Here is a 15,550-nt window from a genome sequence, read left to right as displayed (position 1 = left end):
GAGTTAATGGGTTGAGCCATATTTTTCTTTCATTCCATCTAGGTAATTTCCCAGAACTCTTTATAAAAGAGTATATCAATGTTAAGAAGGAATGAAATGGTCTTTCCAGCAATAACAGTAATATTCAAATACCCTAGGGGAAAAATATATAAAGTCTAAAGCTCTTCGTTTGAGGGATCTACCAAGATCTTATTAGAACTCTCCCTTAAAACTCAAGCTTGAGTTCTTCACTCAGGTCTGTGCATTTTACCCTTTGGCCAGATTGTAGCTCTGGAATTCCCTGGGTTTTCTCATGGTGATCCTTATTGTTTTTATATCCAGTGAAAATACTGGGGACATTTATTCACACATTATTGACTGAATAATAAAAAATTATTCAGCAGGCCAGGCGCAGTGGCTCATGCCTGTAATCCCAGCACTTTGGAAGCCAAGACGGGTGGCTCACCTGAGGTCAGGAGATTGAGACCAGCCTGGCCAACATGATGAAATCCTGTCTCTACTAAAAATACAAAAAATTAGCCAGGTGCAGTGGCACGCGCCTGTAATCCCAGCTACTCAGGAGGTTGAGGCAGGAGAATATCTTAAACCCAGGGGGCGGAGGTTGCAGTGAGCCGAGATTGCACCACTGCACTCCAGCCTGGGCAACAAGAGCAAAACTCCATCTCAAAAAAAAAATTTATTCAGTAATACTTTTAAAGCACATTAAGGAAGACTTTATTCAGGACCATCGATATAGGTATAGGAACAACTGCAATAGAATTTTGCAGTGTGAGAGAGATATAAGCCACAACTCTGAATATAGCATGGGCAAGTGGGAATTTACGGCTAAGAAGCAGGGCAGAAGTCAGTGGACAGAAAATCACCAAGAGAAAATATCAGGGGCCGGGGGAATTCTGGCTAAACTGAACTATCACAATTCTTGCTGAAGACAGTCCAAGGTAATCACACATTACCCGAGGGATACTGGAGGTTAAGAAACCTGATCAGATATGGAGAGTGGGAGGTATTTGCTAAGTTGACTTAGCAGGGTTCTTACTAAAACTGGATTTTACAAGGAAATGCACAGATGGGCCCAGGAGAAGGTTCAGGAGCCTGACTAAAGTTTGATCAAGCAAAGAATCTTTGTCACTGGCTGCAGATATAAAATATGGGGTTGATGAAAGCTAGATTTTCAAACACAATACACCTGATTTTTCTATCTTCCTTGGATTAAAAAATGTAAGTAATAGATTTTTCCCCTTACCTCACTGGCTCTAATTATTACAGACTTTAACTTTGCACATTAAGATCCTCTCCATAATTGCATTTGCATATAGCTTGCAGTCATAGCCCCATGTGCACAAAGAGAAATATTGTTTTCCTTCCAACCTCTCTGCCAGCTGTGACACACATCCTTCCTAAGCTCCTTTCCTCCCCCATCAGCACCACGTCCCAGAGACCAGTAAGGAGGTCTTGACTACTGAAGAGATGTTGAATTGACTCCACATACTGAATCTTGGCTGCAGGATCCTTTTGCAGATGAAGATGTCAAAAGGCAATCTGCAGTGAGAATGACAGTGTGATTAGCCAGAATGAGGCCGAAGTCAGAAGTAGCACGGACCACTGGGAAATTAAGACACCAATTTTCACCGTCAAGATCAGCTGTGATAGGGCGGTATATCCTAGCAACAGCAGAAGTCTTAACCTTGCCATCACAGCAAAAACTAATTTTGTGGTGTTATCTGTTCCAATATCTTTTAATCCAAAAAGTCTTTAAACAGAAAGTAAATACTCACACATTTCTTTTCCTGGATCTGCCTTTTGCCTCTAATTGGGAAATCCTTAATTCGGTGAATTAAAAGGTTATTGAGTCTTAACACAAATTTCATTTGCTTTCCTTCTTAATGCAACCATGGGAAACCTCATTGGAGAGACAGAGAGGGATTGTAATAGTTAACATTAACTGCATTCATGAAGAAAATGATGCTTAAAATCACCCTGGTGTATCTTAAACCAAACATAGAATATTTTATTATCTAGCTGAACAGTGTTAGAGCATGCCCTTGCTACTATGTTGATTCAGATTTACCATAGGGCAGTGGCATCTCTTAAAACATAACTTCATGTAAAATGCTCACCCAATTAGAATGGAGCCTTTTCTGTCCCTTGATACCAGTTCTTTAAAGAGGCTTAGCTATGATATATTTATATTTACAAAAATATGCATCATAGAACTTTAGCTGCCAGATCTGTTCTTGAGACAAGATAAATCAGCAATTTCAGCCACGATACTGAAATATCAAAGTCAGAATGTATAGTTTCCTTTTTTTGAAAAATAAGCAAAAATAAAATTGCTCTTTAATAAGCCTAATCCTCCAAGTAAAGGTAAAACTGTGCCAGAGGCCAGATTATTCTGCATGTTCCTTCCTATAGTTCTGATTCGGAAGTCCTTACCCTAGTTCTCTAAGCTGTCCGAGACCCCCAGAAACCCTCCCTGAAGTATTCTGCTTTGCTTCCCTCTTCATGGTAGAATCCAATGCTAAGTTGGGAACTAAGCCTTGTGCATAGGACCCAATGATGGAAAGGAAAAGTCCGCAAAGGAGCTAGAGCAGCCACAGCTGAAGAGTTAAGAGAAGAACCCAAGCCAAATGGAATCAAGAAAGCCAGGGGAGAAGACAGATTTAAGAAGGAGATGGTGAGAAACGATGTTGAATATAGCATAGACACTACAAAGCATAAGAACTAAAGGGAGATCAAAGGATTCTGAGGTCACCAATGACCTTGAGGAGATCTCTTCCTTCGGCTCTATAGAGGCAAAGTACAGGTATTAAGGAATGAGTAGGTTAATGGTGAACAAAAGGGAAAAGACTACGGTAGTTCATCCAAGTGTTCAAAACTCCACCCCCAGGTAGAACGGGGACCCCTTTGTGGTGTGATTGCAGGATGTTGGAAAGCTGAGCAAATGCCTGCCCCATGGGGCCTCGCACAATCCCTAATTCAGGAGCAGCATAAGTCTTTACGTTGATAGATGGGAAACCTTCCCTACCCCAGAAATTCCTTCTTGGGATAGAATGTTAGAGTTGGGTCCACAACCCAACTCTCATGTCAGTTTCCTAGTGGGGAGAAAAAGGCAGGCAAGGAAACTCCAGAGTAGGCAGCAAAATAAAGGATCTATTTGCATGATTCTCTCAAATTTAGGCAAAGGATAGACTCAATTAAGGCATGATTGAATATAGGAGGAGGCTTCTCTTCTTGTGTGGCTACCTGGGGGAGACATTTTATTGGCAATGGGGTGACTTGGATTCTACACACTAGTGGCTCTTATTCTCTCTGGTCTTTGCAGCACACATTTGGCTTGGTGAGACTAAGGGCAGGCCTCAGAGATCTCAGAGGTCTCTAGAAAGTCTTAGGATTTTACATGAGAATGCCAGGACAAGTTTGCTCATGTCTTCTGTTTGGCAATGCATTGCTGTTCTTTCATGGATGCGAAGCTGCCTCTTAAAAATCTGAAGTTTGCCCAGTGGCCTCTTGCTTTCAGACACCCATTTTTTCAGTGTGTCACTTCACCAGCCACATGTAGGTCTTGTTTCTGAAGAGCAACTTATGCATATCTCAGGCTGTCTATGCTGCTGCTGGGCTTCTCTTGCTAAAAATAAGCCACACCTCTCCACTCTGCTGCCTGCCAATATGGACCGGCAGCTTCCTTGGTCCCCCCTTCCCCATAGCTCCCTGTCAGTGCTCAGAGCTGAGTATCACGGTGCGTTTTCTACATTTTTCTCCTGCCCCACAGGCTCTGGCTTGTCAATAACTCATCTTACTTTCACCTCCTCTCCTCTCCTCCTCTCCTGTAGATGCAGTATGGTGAATATTACATGAATGGATTTTGAGACAGACTTCCTGGACTGAATCCTAGCTCCAACACTTACTAGCTGTGTGACTGCAAACAAGTTACATAACCTCTCTGGACCTTTTCCAAAATGTCAAATGAATGGTATAATACAATATGTAGCTGTGATGGTTGAGTTCATGTGTTGACTTCATTAGGCTAAGAGATGCTCAGAGAACTGGTAAAATATTATTTCTGGGTATGTCTGTGAGGTGTTTCTGGAAGACATTAGCATTTGAATCAGTAGACCAAGTAAAGAAGATCTGCCCTTAGCAGTGTGAGCAGGCATCGTCCAATCCACTGAGGACTCAGACAAATAAAAAACTTAGAGTAAGGGTGAATTCACACCCTTTCCTTGAGCCGGGACATTCATCTTCTCCTACCTTTGGATATCTCTTTGAACTTAAGGACTTATACCAATGCCCCGCTCCTGCACCCCAGCCTTTAGCCTGGGAATGGGAGTTACACCATTGGCCTTCCTGGTTTTCAGGCTTTTGGACTCAAACTGAATTATACCACTGGCTTTCCTGGCCCTCCAGCTTGCAGATGGCATATTGTAGGAATTCTCTGCCTCTATAATCATATGTGCCAATTCCCAAAATAAATCTCCTCATATACGTATACAGGATACCTATATCCTATTGGTTCTGTTCCTCTGGAGAACCCAACTAATACAGTAACCTTTTGAATCTGGCTTCTTCCACCTTAGCAAAATGAATTTATCAAGTTGGTGCAAAAGTAAAAGTAATAGCCAAAACTGCAATTACCTTTGCAGCAACCTAACCTAATAGAATTCATCGATGTTGTGTGATAGCTCACTCCTTTTTATTATCAAAAAACATTCTGTTGTATGGATATACTATGATTTGTTTAGCCATTCACTTATTGAAGGATATCTTTGTTACTTTCAGTTTTTGGCAATTATGGATAAATCTTCTAAAAACATTCATGTGCAAGTTTTTGTATGGACATAAGTTTCTTTAGCTGGGTAAATACCTAGGAGTACACTGTTAGGTCATATGATGAATCTGTGTTTAACTTTATAAGAAACTGCCACATGTCTTCCAAAGTGGCTATACTATTTTGCATTCCCACCAGCAATTAACGAGAGTCCTTATTGTTCCAAATTCTCATCAGTACTTGGGATGGTCAGATTTCTTTTTTTTATCTTTTTCTTCTGTTTTTTTTTTTTTTGGCTTTAGCCTTTCTGTTAGGTATATAGTAGTATCTCATTGTTGTTTTAATTTCTATTTCCCTGATGACAAACAAAGTTGAGCATCTTTTCTCTTTTTTTTTTTTCTTTTTTTTTTGAGATGGAGTCTCGCTTTGTCACCCAGGCTGGAGTGCAGTGGCGCGATCTTGGCTTACTGCAAGCTCTGCCTCCTGAGTTCACTCCATTCTCCTGCCTCAGCTTCCCTAGCAGCTGGGACTACAGGTGCCTGCCACCATGCCCGCCACCACACCTGGCTCCTTTTTTTGTATTTTTAGTAGAGACAGGTTTCACCGTGTTAGCCTGGATGGTCTCAATCTCCTGACTTTGTGATCCGCCCACCTCGGCCTCCCAAAGTGTGGGGATTACAGGCGTGAGCCACTGCGTCCAGCCGAGCATCTTTTCTTATACTTATTTGCCATCTATACATCTTCTGTGGTGAGGTATTTGTTCAGATCTTTTGCCCTGTTTTTTGGGGGGGTGTTGTTTGTTATTTTATTGCTGAGTTTTAAGAGTTCTTTTTATTTTCTGAATAGAAGTCCTTTATGAGATATGTGGCTTGCAAATTTATTTCAAATCTGTGGCTTGTCTTTTTATTCTCTAGTGGTGTCTTTCAAAGAGCAGAAGTTTTTGACTTTTATGAAGTCCTATTTATCAATTTGTTATTTTACAGGTGGTGCTGTTGTTGTCATTTTTAAGAAATCTTTGCTTAACCCAAGTTCACAAAGACTTTCTCCTGTTTTCCTTTAGGAGACTTTTAGTTTTAGGTTTTACACGTTGGGCAATGGTTCATTTTAAGTTGATATTTTTACATGTGGCAAGATACAGATTGAAGTGCTTTTTTTTTTTTTTGCATATAGATATCCAATGTTCCAGCGTCACTGTTGAAAAGTTTCCTTTCTCTACTTTCACTTTTGCACCAACCTAATAAATGAAAAAGGGCTTTGTGCCTTTGTCACACATCATTTTCTCATATGTACATGGGTCTATTTCTAGATTCTCTATTCTGGGAAGAAATATACTGATTACTGAAACTTATTGTGGAATGCATAAAAAATTAAGACGGATTGGTGGATAAAAAAGAGATAAATGGGCCAGGCATGATGGCTCACACCTGTAATCCCAGCACTTTGGGAGGCCAAGGCAGGCGGGTCTCGAGATCAGGAGTTCAAGACCAGCCTGATGAACATGGTGAAACCCTGTCTCTGCTGTGGTGCGCACCTGTAATCCCAGCTACTCAGGAGGCTGAGGTAGGAGAATCGCTTGAACCCGGGAGGCAGACCTTGCAGTGAGCCAAGATCATGCCATTGCACTCCAGCCTGGGCAACAGAGCATGACTCCATCTCAAAAAAAAAAAAACAAAAAAAAAAAACGGATAAATATGGTGGATGTGGTCAACAAACTATAGTAAAATATTAATGGCAAAATCTAGGTGGTGAGTATATGGGTGCTTACTGTAAACTTTTATCTTTGAGTGTTTGACATTTTTCATAATCAAAGGGTTAAAAGAAAACTCCCCTAAGGATTTTGAAGCACTAGCATGCCATCAGTCTTTAAGAACAGGTTCCTAAATAACTATTTCAGTCAAGCTTTTGGTATCTGAAATCTAGGTAAGAAACATCCTCTACCAAAAAAAAATCTTCCTAAGACTTCCTAAGCACAGTCAGATAGACTAAGCACAGTTCTATCTGACTGTGCTACCCATAATGGCCAATTACTACTGTTTTTTAAAAATTTATCAGTTTTTGTAATGAGTTTCTTCATCAATCTATTATTGTTGGATTATCTGTTTTGTATTATTATTATTATTTATTATTATTGCAATATGCTAAAATACATTGTATGCCATGGCTCTTTGCTGTTTGACAAGAGTGCTTTCACACACAGTATATCATTTGATCCTAAACAACCCTACAGGTAAAAATTGTGATAGAATATTATCCACATTTTTCTAATGTGGATAATTTTTCTAACGAGTTTCTCATGGAACTCAATTCAGAGGGAATCCTTTTTTCCCAAACCCAAATGCCTCGCAAGTGGTAGTTAGCACTCCACACAGTGCAACATCATGTCGCATTAAAATAAGCAAGCAGATTTCATTCCCACTTGAAACTTTAAATGTTTGTGGCCTTTACCAATCCTCTCAATGATTTCATAGTTAAGTTTGGTTGTATTTTAATTCATGCCTTGGAAAGTTTCCAACAAGGATGGTAAACGTCAGCCCCCATCAAAAGAATTGCTGATTTGATGCAAAGTGATGTGTGAGCACCAGCAGGATGCTGTTAATTGATTCGTCAATTCTCCTATGTGTGAACAGGTGTGATGAAGTGTAAAGAAGTATGCGACGTGGATGTGGCAGAGCTGTCACACAGAGAGGACTATGACTATCAGAGAAGATGACTCTCCGACTACCTTCTATCTTCCTGTACAAACACCTGTCCCAAACCATTCTCCCTTGGAAACTTCAAGAAGTGGTAAAGTGGTGTGCTCCATCTTGATGCACACCTGAGTAGGATGGGCATATATGGCCCACACTGAAATGTGGAGGTGGATTTTCCTAGAGCGGGTGGATCACCTCTGACCTATAGTTAAGGACAAAGCTTATTTCTAGGAATAGGATTTTTTTTTAACTGAAAAAGCACATCTTCACCAAAATCCATATTTAATCTAAGAAAACTGCACCTAGAGAGCCCTTCCATCAGTTATATATTATTCTCATCAAATTGCAGCCACAAAGAAAAGCCTAGGTAGGAAGAGCCTAGCCAGGCAGCTGAGGCCAGAAGGTGACAAAAACATCCCTGCCAAGAAAAGAGAAAATATTTGCATAAATGTTTGCACAACTTGGTGTTGCCCATCACTCCTTGCACTCTTCCTGGTGTCTGTGGTTACCTGTAATCTATTTCCTCTTCTCTCCGTTAACAAGTCAAAATATCATCAGCGTGGCTCTGTGTACCAGTTGACTTTTACAGTTGAATAGTCTCTGTGTCTGAGAGTGAAAATGTCAGATTCTCTGCCCTTATTCTCTCCCACATACCATAGCCCTTTCTGCCTAGGGTTCTTGATTGTTGGGGTTCTTCTGCATTCTTCCAGGACATTGAAGTTCTATGGTTGTGGACGTTTTCAGGAGTTGTCTTGGAAGGAAAAGTTGGAATCTAATGTGCATGGTATTTATCAGGGGTTGATACCTATGGAAGGGAGGGGAAAAAAACAAGATAAGACAGAGAAAGAAACAGGACTGTGGTGAGGGTAAGAGGTCAGACAAAGACTTACCAACCCAGTGGGAAGTTGTGAAGTAAATATAGCCCATCAATGTTGTCATATATTGACCAACTTCTCCTGGGTTGCCAGATTTTCCTTGTTTTAGCACTGAAGATCTCATATTCTGTACGTCCTGTCATCCTGGGCAAAGCAGGACAACTGGTTGCCCTAGCACCTGTCTCATATTGGGCTTTGTGTCTCACTGAGGTTCATATTTTGACGCCGAGGCTGACTTGAAGGAACTGCGGGTAGAAGCTGTCTGCTTACCCCATTACAGAAACTGAACAGCCAGCCCTTGCCAGAAGGGAGGTCTGAGTGCTGCATCCCTGGTTCCACCACAGGGAGGTAGGATGCTGCAGGACCCGAAGGACCTAGCTCTCTTCCTTTTTTTTCCTCTTGTCTCTGGTCCTCCTGCCGCTTTGTTTGACAATAAGCATGGCCTTTGGAGATAGGCATGAATTTAAATCCTAGGTGGGCCAATCACTAGTTATGCAACCTTGGGCAAGGCCAACTTCTGAAGCCCCAGTTTCCCATCTTGTGGGTTAATAGTAGAAATTCAGTGAGGTCATATACGTGTAGAATCAGCACAAAGTAGGTCTTGGATAAGGATGAGCCCATGTTATTTTTAAGGGGAAAATCTCCCACCCTGGAAAATGGCAGAGAAAAGTACCTCAAGCAGCCCCCACTCTGAGCAGCTTCCTGCCTCCCCGCCTGCCCTTTCATCCCCTTATTAAAGGTCCCTCTCACTTTCCCCACCCACTGAAGAGTTTCCACGACTGTGTAATCCCATGAAAACAGCAGCCATCCCCACATTACAACCAGGAATTCTGAAATATATGAAATACACAGTGGCAGCCAGAACAGAGTGGCTTTTACTTAGGACTGCTGGCTCTGGTAAAAATCTGAGTCAAAGAAGGAATAGAAGGCATCAACAGCCTGTGTTCTTTGAGGTCCCTATAATTCTGAACTGTGGGCAAAGAAAGGGTAATGCTGACTGAGCTTGAAAAGGTGCAGTGGAAGGCAAACAAATAAATGATTTAAGGTTTTGGAAGAAAGACTTTTGAAGAAAGCTTGACCTTAACCTTTGGAGCTTAGAGCAAAGCTCCACTGAGTGAAGGTGGGTTGCAGTAGTAAATTGGTCTGGACAAAACACATAGAGAGTCATTATGAGAAGAGAAAACCCTCCTCACCTTGTTGGGGCAGTGACTGCTGATAAGACACGTCCTGAAAGGGCAGCCTGCTGAGAAGAATCGAGCTAAATTCAAGGACAATAGCAATCCTCATTAGGGCCAAAAGCCAGGGGCTGTGATATGCAGGTCAGCTTACCAGGCTATTTCAGGAGCTGCTTGCCTGTGGCTAGTTGGCTCTGTTGGATGGAGCAGTGAGTTAATGAGGCCAAGGGCAGGAGGCTGACTTTCTGCAAAAGCCAGCTAGCTTTATACGTTTGCCAGCTAGCTTTATACATTTCCATGGCCATGGATTCCACCACTAAGCTAGACCATGCAGCTCACACCTAGGTGCTTAATTGCTGTCAGGGTCTCAAGTTTACACTCTGAAGATTTCACAGAATTCTTAGCCAATACGCAGATATGCTATTTTGTTGGAGGCTCAACCAATGGTCTAGCCTAGCAGTAAGATGTTAATTCAATTACACGTTTATTCATTCTGTCAGTCAACAAATACTTGAGTGCATACACTGCTGTTCTGTAAAGATATTGTGCCAGGTGCTTTGTATGGCAGTAAATACGAAGAAAGAAAGACATAAAACTAAAGAAACAGAAAATTCAACACAGGAGAGAGGCAAAGAGAATACCCAGGTTGATAAGCATGGAAGTTCCGAGATGACAACTGACAATTATGTGGCAATACTAAGGGAAAAAAAAAGGATTCCTGATTAGAAAGATAGGACAAGGCCGGGCACAGTGGCTCACCCCTGTAATCCCAGAACTTGGGGAGGCCAAGGTGGTTGGATCACCTAAGGTCAAGAGTTCAAGACCACCCTGGCCAACATGACAAAACCCTGTCTCTACTAAAAATACAAAAATTAGCTGGGCATGGTGGCGTGCATCTGTAATCCCAGCTACTCAGGAGGCTGAGGTAGGAGAATCACTAGAACCCAGGAGGCGGAGGTTACAGTGAGCTGAGATCATGCCAGTGCACTCCAGCCTAGGTGACAGAGCAAGATTCCATCTCAAAAAAAAAAAAAAAAAAGAAAGATAGGACAAAAATCTATAGAAGATATCTCCAAGAGAAAAAGAAAAAGAAATGTTGATATGACCAAAGAGTTTGAAAGTATAAAAAGATTTTTATTTCTATTGATAAGTTTAGGGTGAAAAAGTGAAATATACATGGAAAATCAAGAAAATGAACAAATAACACAACAATTCCAGAGAAAATAATAAATTGTACAGGAAAAAAATGAGATCACACTACGGGTAACAGAATTGAAAGAAGTTCCATGTGAAGAGACGAAACTGAGGATGTGGCATGGGAGAGCAAGAGACTGCATTTTCATCATAAACCTAACAGTGCTATTTGATTTTTTAAAAGCTGTATATTTATTGCTTAGAAATTTATTTTTTTCTTGAGACAGGGTCTCACTCTGTCACCCAGGCTTGAGTGCAGTGGCATAATCACGGCTCACTGCACCTTCAATCTCCTAGGCTCAGGTGATCCTCCCACCTCAGCCACTACCTTTTTAACTGCTATAGATCTAAAAGCAATGGTCAGCAAGCATTTAAAAATGTTTGAACATATACATAGATATACCTAAAAGACTATTCATTGAAGCACATAGTCTGTAACAACAAAAATGTGAAACATTTAAATGTTCATCAATAGGACTGGCTAAACAAATATGAGTAAATTCGTAAAATAAATGAACTATTTCACAGCCTTTGAAAATAGAGGGTAGGCTGATTTGTATCGACATGGAGCAATCTCTCCATATATTGTTAAGAAGATCAAGTTGCAGAATAATATGTACCAAAGCGAGCATGTGTGTGTGTATGTGTGCATGCATTTATATCTTTGTATGTGTTTATATGTACATAGGAACATGCATGAAAGGATACAATATAACTATTAACTGTGGCTATCTCTAGGGAGTGATTAGAGTAGGGTCTGGAGGACTTCCACTTTTTCTTTCTAAATATTTATTGTCTGTATTTTTTACAGTGAGCAAGTACTACTTCTATTATTAAAGTCCACAAAGATAGTATTTTTTTTTTAACTAAAACACAAGGGAGAGGTAGACCCAATTGCACCTGAAGAGGCAGAGGGCAGGCAGGCCCATCAGGAGGCATACTGGTCCTGGCCAGAGTGCTGAAATATGGCACCAGCGGGGAGGACAGAAAAGTGGAGAGATTCAGAGGTAGCAAAGTGTGGCATATGCTTTGTATTAATTTGCTAGTAATGATGAGGAATTTGTTTTGATAGTTTATATTTTGTTGTAGAATGGAATGAAGAGATGGCCAGGATGTAGAACTTCCAAAGCTGTGAATACCCATGTAAAGCACTAGGTATTTCTTCTCAGAGAATTAGCCCAGCAGCTGACAGCAGCTGGGTATCAAGTGGGCTCTAGTTCCCAAACCCCTTTGTGGTCAGCAACTGCCCTGATTTAGCCCTAATGGCCTATGGTCTTCACTACAGCCAGGACTCCTGGGCCCCCTTTTTCTGCTTAGTCAGTGCCTTCAAGGCTTTTCCATACCCACGGTGAGAAGAAGCAAAGAAAGGCAATGCAAACTGGGATGCGGAGGGTGTGTGTGGAGAGTATGTTTGGAGGGTGGGAGGTATTTAAATCCGACATTGGCTGTGCCTGCTTTTGTATTCTGAAAGTGACTAGGGATGGATGGGGCTGTAGAGAAAGATGTGAGGGTAAGCTGACATAATCCATGCAATGTGGATGCAACTGTGCAGCTCCCGCCCACTGTGGAAACAAGTAGAGGAGGAAGAAGGAGTGAGACCCAGAGAATAAGCCCCACCGTCTAGCAGAGTGCTAACAAATCATTGGTTATGCAAAGGGAGGTCCAGAGCTGGTTTTGGAAGGAGAAGCAAAGGAAAGAAAAGTGTGAACAAGTACAGGTTCATGAACGACTGAAGTCTGAATTGGTGGAAAGAACAGAGGGACAATAATCAGTATAAGAATATCTGATATTCAATTCTAAACTGCTTGTCCATCAGTGATGTAAACCTTCTGGTTCTCCTCCAAACAGTAAAGACATAAACCAAAGGCCTTCCTTATGATTGTGGATTGTGGAGTGGGCATAGATAAAAGCAATGGATGACTTCCATATCTAAGAGACAAAGATATGAAATAATGATGGCCCATTCAGGACAGCAAAACAATTCATAAATCTGGGGGTAAGATAATTTCATCTGAATCTTGAAAGAGGAAACAGCTCATTCTAACATCTGGGTTAGATGGTGACTGATAGAGTTTGGATGTGTATCTCTATCCAAATTTCATATTGAAATATAACCCCTGATGTTGGAGGTGGGGCCTGGTGGGAGGTGATTAGATCATGGGGGCGGATCTCTCATGAATCGTTTAGCACCATCCGCCTGGAACTGTTCTCATGATGGTGAATGAGTTCTCTGGAGATCTGGTTGTTTAAAAGCATGTGACATCTCCCCTCTTGCTCTCTTGCTCCTGCTCTGGCCATGTGATGTGCTTCTTCCCCCTTCACCTTCCACCATGATTGTAAGTTTCCTGGGGCCTCCCCTGAAGCTGAGCAGGTGCCAGCACGATGCTTCCTGTACAGTCTGCAAAATTATGAACCTATTAAACATTCTTTATAAATTACCCAGTCTCAGATATTTCTTTATAGAAGTGTAAAAATGGCCTAATACAGTGACAAAATCCTTAAAGTGCCTTGAATATGCAGCCTATAAGGATCAGCCTCCCATGTATGGGGCGGTGGAGAAGAGTGGGAATGTACCTCAGGGGCCCAGAGAATTCCCAGCACACAAGGACACCTCGATTTCGAGGAGGGGCAGAGAAATGCAATTATCTCATATGCCCCAAAAGCAGGAGATGGAAACATTTGTTGAATAGTGAAAGTGACAACCAAAGTAGGTTCACTGACTGAGGAAATTTCTTGAATTGTTTAGAAACCAGTGCAGAAATTATGGGGCTTGTGTGGGTTACGGGGCCGCTACTACAAAGTCCTCTTTAACCAGTGCTCTACACTTTCCAGTGTATTATTCACTCCTCAAAAATGCCCTATGAAGGAGGATTTCTCAGCCCTCATGATGCTGTACCCTGTTGCCAGGGAGCCAGGCCAGTTTGCCTGTATGAGTATATTTGAGAAGTGATTATAAAAAATGTGTTTTTTTACTTCCTTTACATTTATATAATACTTTGGAGTTTACAAAGCTCGTTTATAAAAATGGTCTCATTTTGTACTTGAAATGATAACCTTTTAGGCAGGGAAAATGTCTTTGAGAGGTCAAGCGTCCAAAGCGACAGAGTGAGTTAGCAGCATTCGCGAGCTGTCATTGTGAGACAGACCCTGAACCAGGCCCTAGTGGTGCAGCTACAAAGAACATCAGATCCTTTGCCACCTGCGCCTCCTTGCCTTGTGGCCATAGGAGGGTCTTTCATTTGGGGATAGAAAAAGCTGGCACAAGCTGCATAGCTTACAACAGTGCTGGTGAGTTCCTGGAGCAGCTGCTGCCTGAGCATTCTCAGATGCTCATGCTAGGAGCTACTCAGGGGGATCTTGTTGGTTGAAAGTCTGAGTCGACGCACGGAAAGCAAAGATGGTCTTGTCCTTGCTTGTTTTGACTCAGCCATCCCAGTGGGGAGCTTTGAGAACAACAGATTCCAAAATACAAGACTAGTGGTTGCTCTGGGAAAATGCACCGCCCCACCCGCCACCCCAATGCATCTGTTAATTAGCTTGATTTTGCCATTTCATGGTTTCTAAGTATTTCAGAACATCATGTTGTACAAGATAAACATACAATGTTTATTTGTAAATTTAAAATAGCCAATTAATTTTGAAAAATCACCCCACTCCCATCCTCAATGAAACCTCTGATCTGAAAATATGAGTGCCAGGTTTGTTGAGTCAGTGTGACTCATCAAAACCTAGAAGCAAACAAGAGGATCCTTTTTGCTCTTTTCTTTCTTCAAATCTAGAGTGATTCCAAAATAGAGAATTCCTGGTTTCCCCTTTTTTGGGTTTTACTCAGGGGCATTTCCAGACCAAAGTGCTCCAGGAGAACAAATCTTACCCTCAAAAGCAAGTTTGCAAGGGGAGAAGAATCTATCTTCTGGCTTTGGCAAATCTCTCTACTCCCCCATCCCCTGGGAAAGTCAGAGAGACACCACCTGTTTTACAGATGAGACTCCAACTGAGGCCCAGGAGCTTAATGTGGAGCTGCGCTAATGTGGATGATCACCTGCAGAGCTGGGGTTCACTTCAGCTCCTCAGTACCCCCCACCCCTTGCTCAACGTGTGCTGTGGCTGCAGATGGTCTTGCTGGCCATGCTGGATCTGCCACTAGTATCCACGTGACCTTGGGCAAAATTCTCATTTTTTCTGTGATTCAGTTCAGAGGTGGACTGAAATGGGGATGATAATAGTTAACTCCCTCACAGGGTAATACATGATAATCTCTCAAAAATGGTAACTACTACTATTGTCATTATAATTTTATTGCACAGAGAGAGTTCCAGCCCCACCCCAGGTTTCCAAAATAAAATTATTTCAATTTCTGAAAAGTATTTTATCCCAAAAGAAAGCTTAGAGAAACACAAGTTTACTTTCAGATATCCTCCTTACCTGGTAGGAGACAGAGAATGTCGGGACACATCAGCTGTTGGAAGCAGAGGCTCAGTGACATGGAAAGAGCTTGGGCTTCTGTGCCCAAGCCTTGAATCTGAGCTCTGCTGCTCACCACCTATTTGAGCTTAGGCAAGTTGTTGAACCTCTCCAAGCTCCATTTCTTCCTATAGGCCAGGAACGCTATGTAACCCCAAGAGCAGTTGTGAGGATTAAAGATCACACATGCAAAAAGCCTTGTATGGTGCCTGCCTTATGGTAGGCTCTCAATAACTGTAGCTAGTAATTTCATTCTTAATATTTCATTTAATCAATGGCTAATTCCTGTGACCCATGACAGAAGTGCACATGCACACATCCACACAGACACTTGCATATTCCCCTTTCAGGCCTGGAACGGCCATGCATGTGAGTGGGGCCTTCTTC

The 15,550-nt window shown here is 41.9% G+C and overlaps 2 annotated features.

Annotated features, from left to right (window-relative positions):
* Positions 9,181-9,911: an enhancer, noted in NCBI's record as "OCT4-NANOG hESC enhancer chr15:53604840-53605570 (GRCh37/hg19 assembly coordinates)". NCBI's record gives its function as "activates a minimal SCP1, AML or CMV promoter by ChIP-STARR-seq in naive and primed H9 embryonic stem cells {active_cell/tissue: H9 hESC(naive and primed)}" and the evidence as "EXISTENCE:reporter gene assay evidence [ECO:0000049][PMID:30033119]".
* Positions 13,809-15,008: an enhancer, noted in NCBI's record as "MED14-independent group 3 enhancer chr15:53599743-53600942 (GRCh37/hg19 assembly coordinates)". NCBI's record gives its function as "activates an origin of replication core promoter dependent on BRD2, BRD4, P300/CBP and CDK7 cofactors, and independent of MED14, by STARR-seq in HCT116 cells {active_cell/tissue: HCT116}" and the evidence as "EXISTENCE:reporter gene assay evidence [ECO:0000049][PMID:35650434]".

This window comes from Homo sapiens, chromosome 15 (assembly GCF_000001405.40).
Source record: "Homo sapiens chromosome 15, GRCh38.p14 Primary Assembly".
In the NCBI taxonomy this organism is placed as follows: domain Eukaryota; kingdom Metazoa; phylum Chordata; class Mammalia; order Primates; family Hominidae; genus Homo; species Homo sapiens.
Note: the sequence above shows the minus strand (reverse complement) of the source record. Positions and strands in the feature narration are given on the sequence as shown.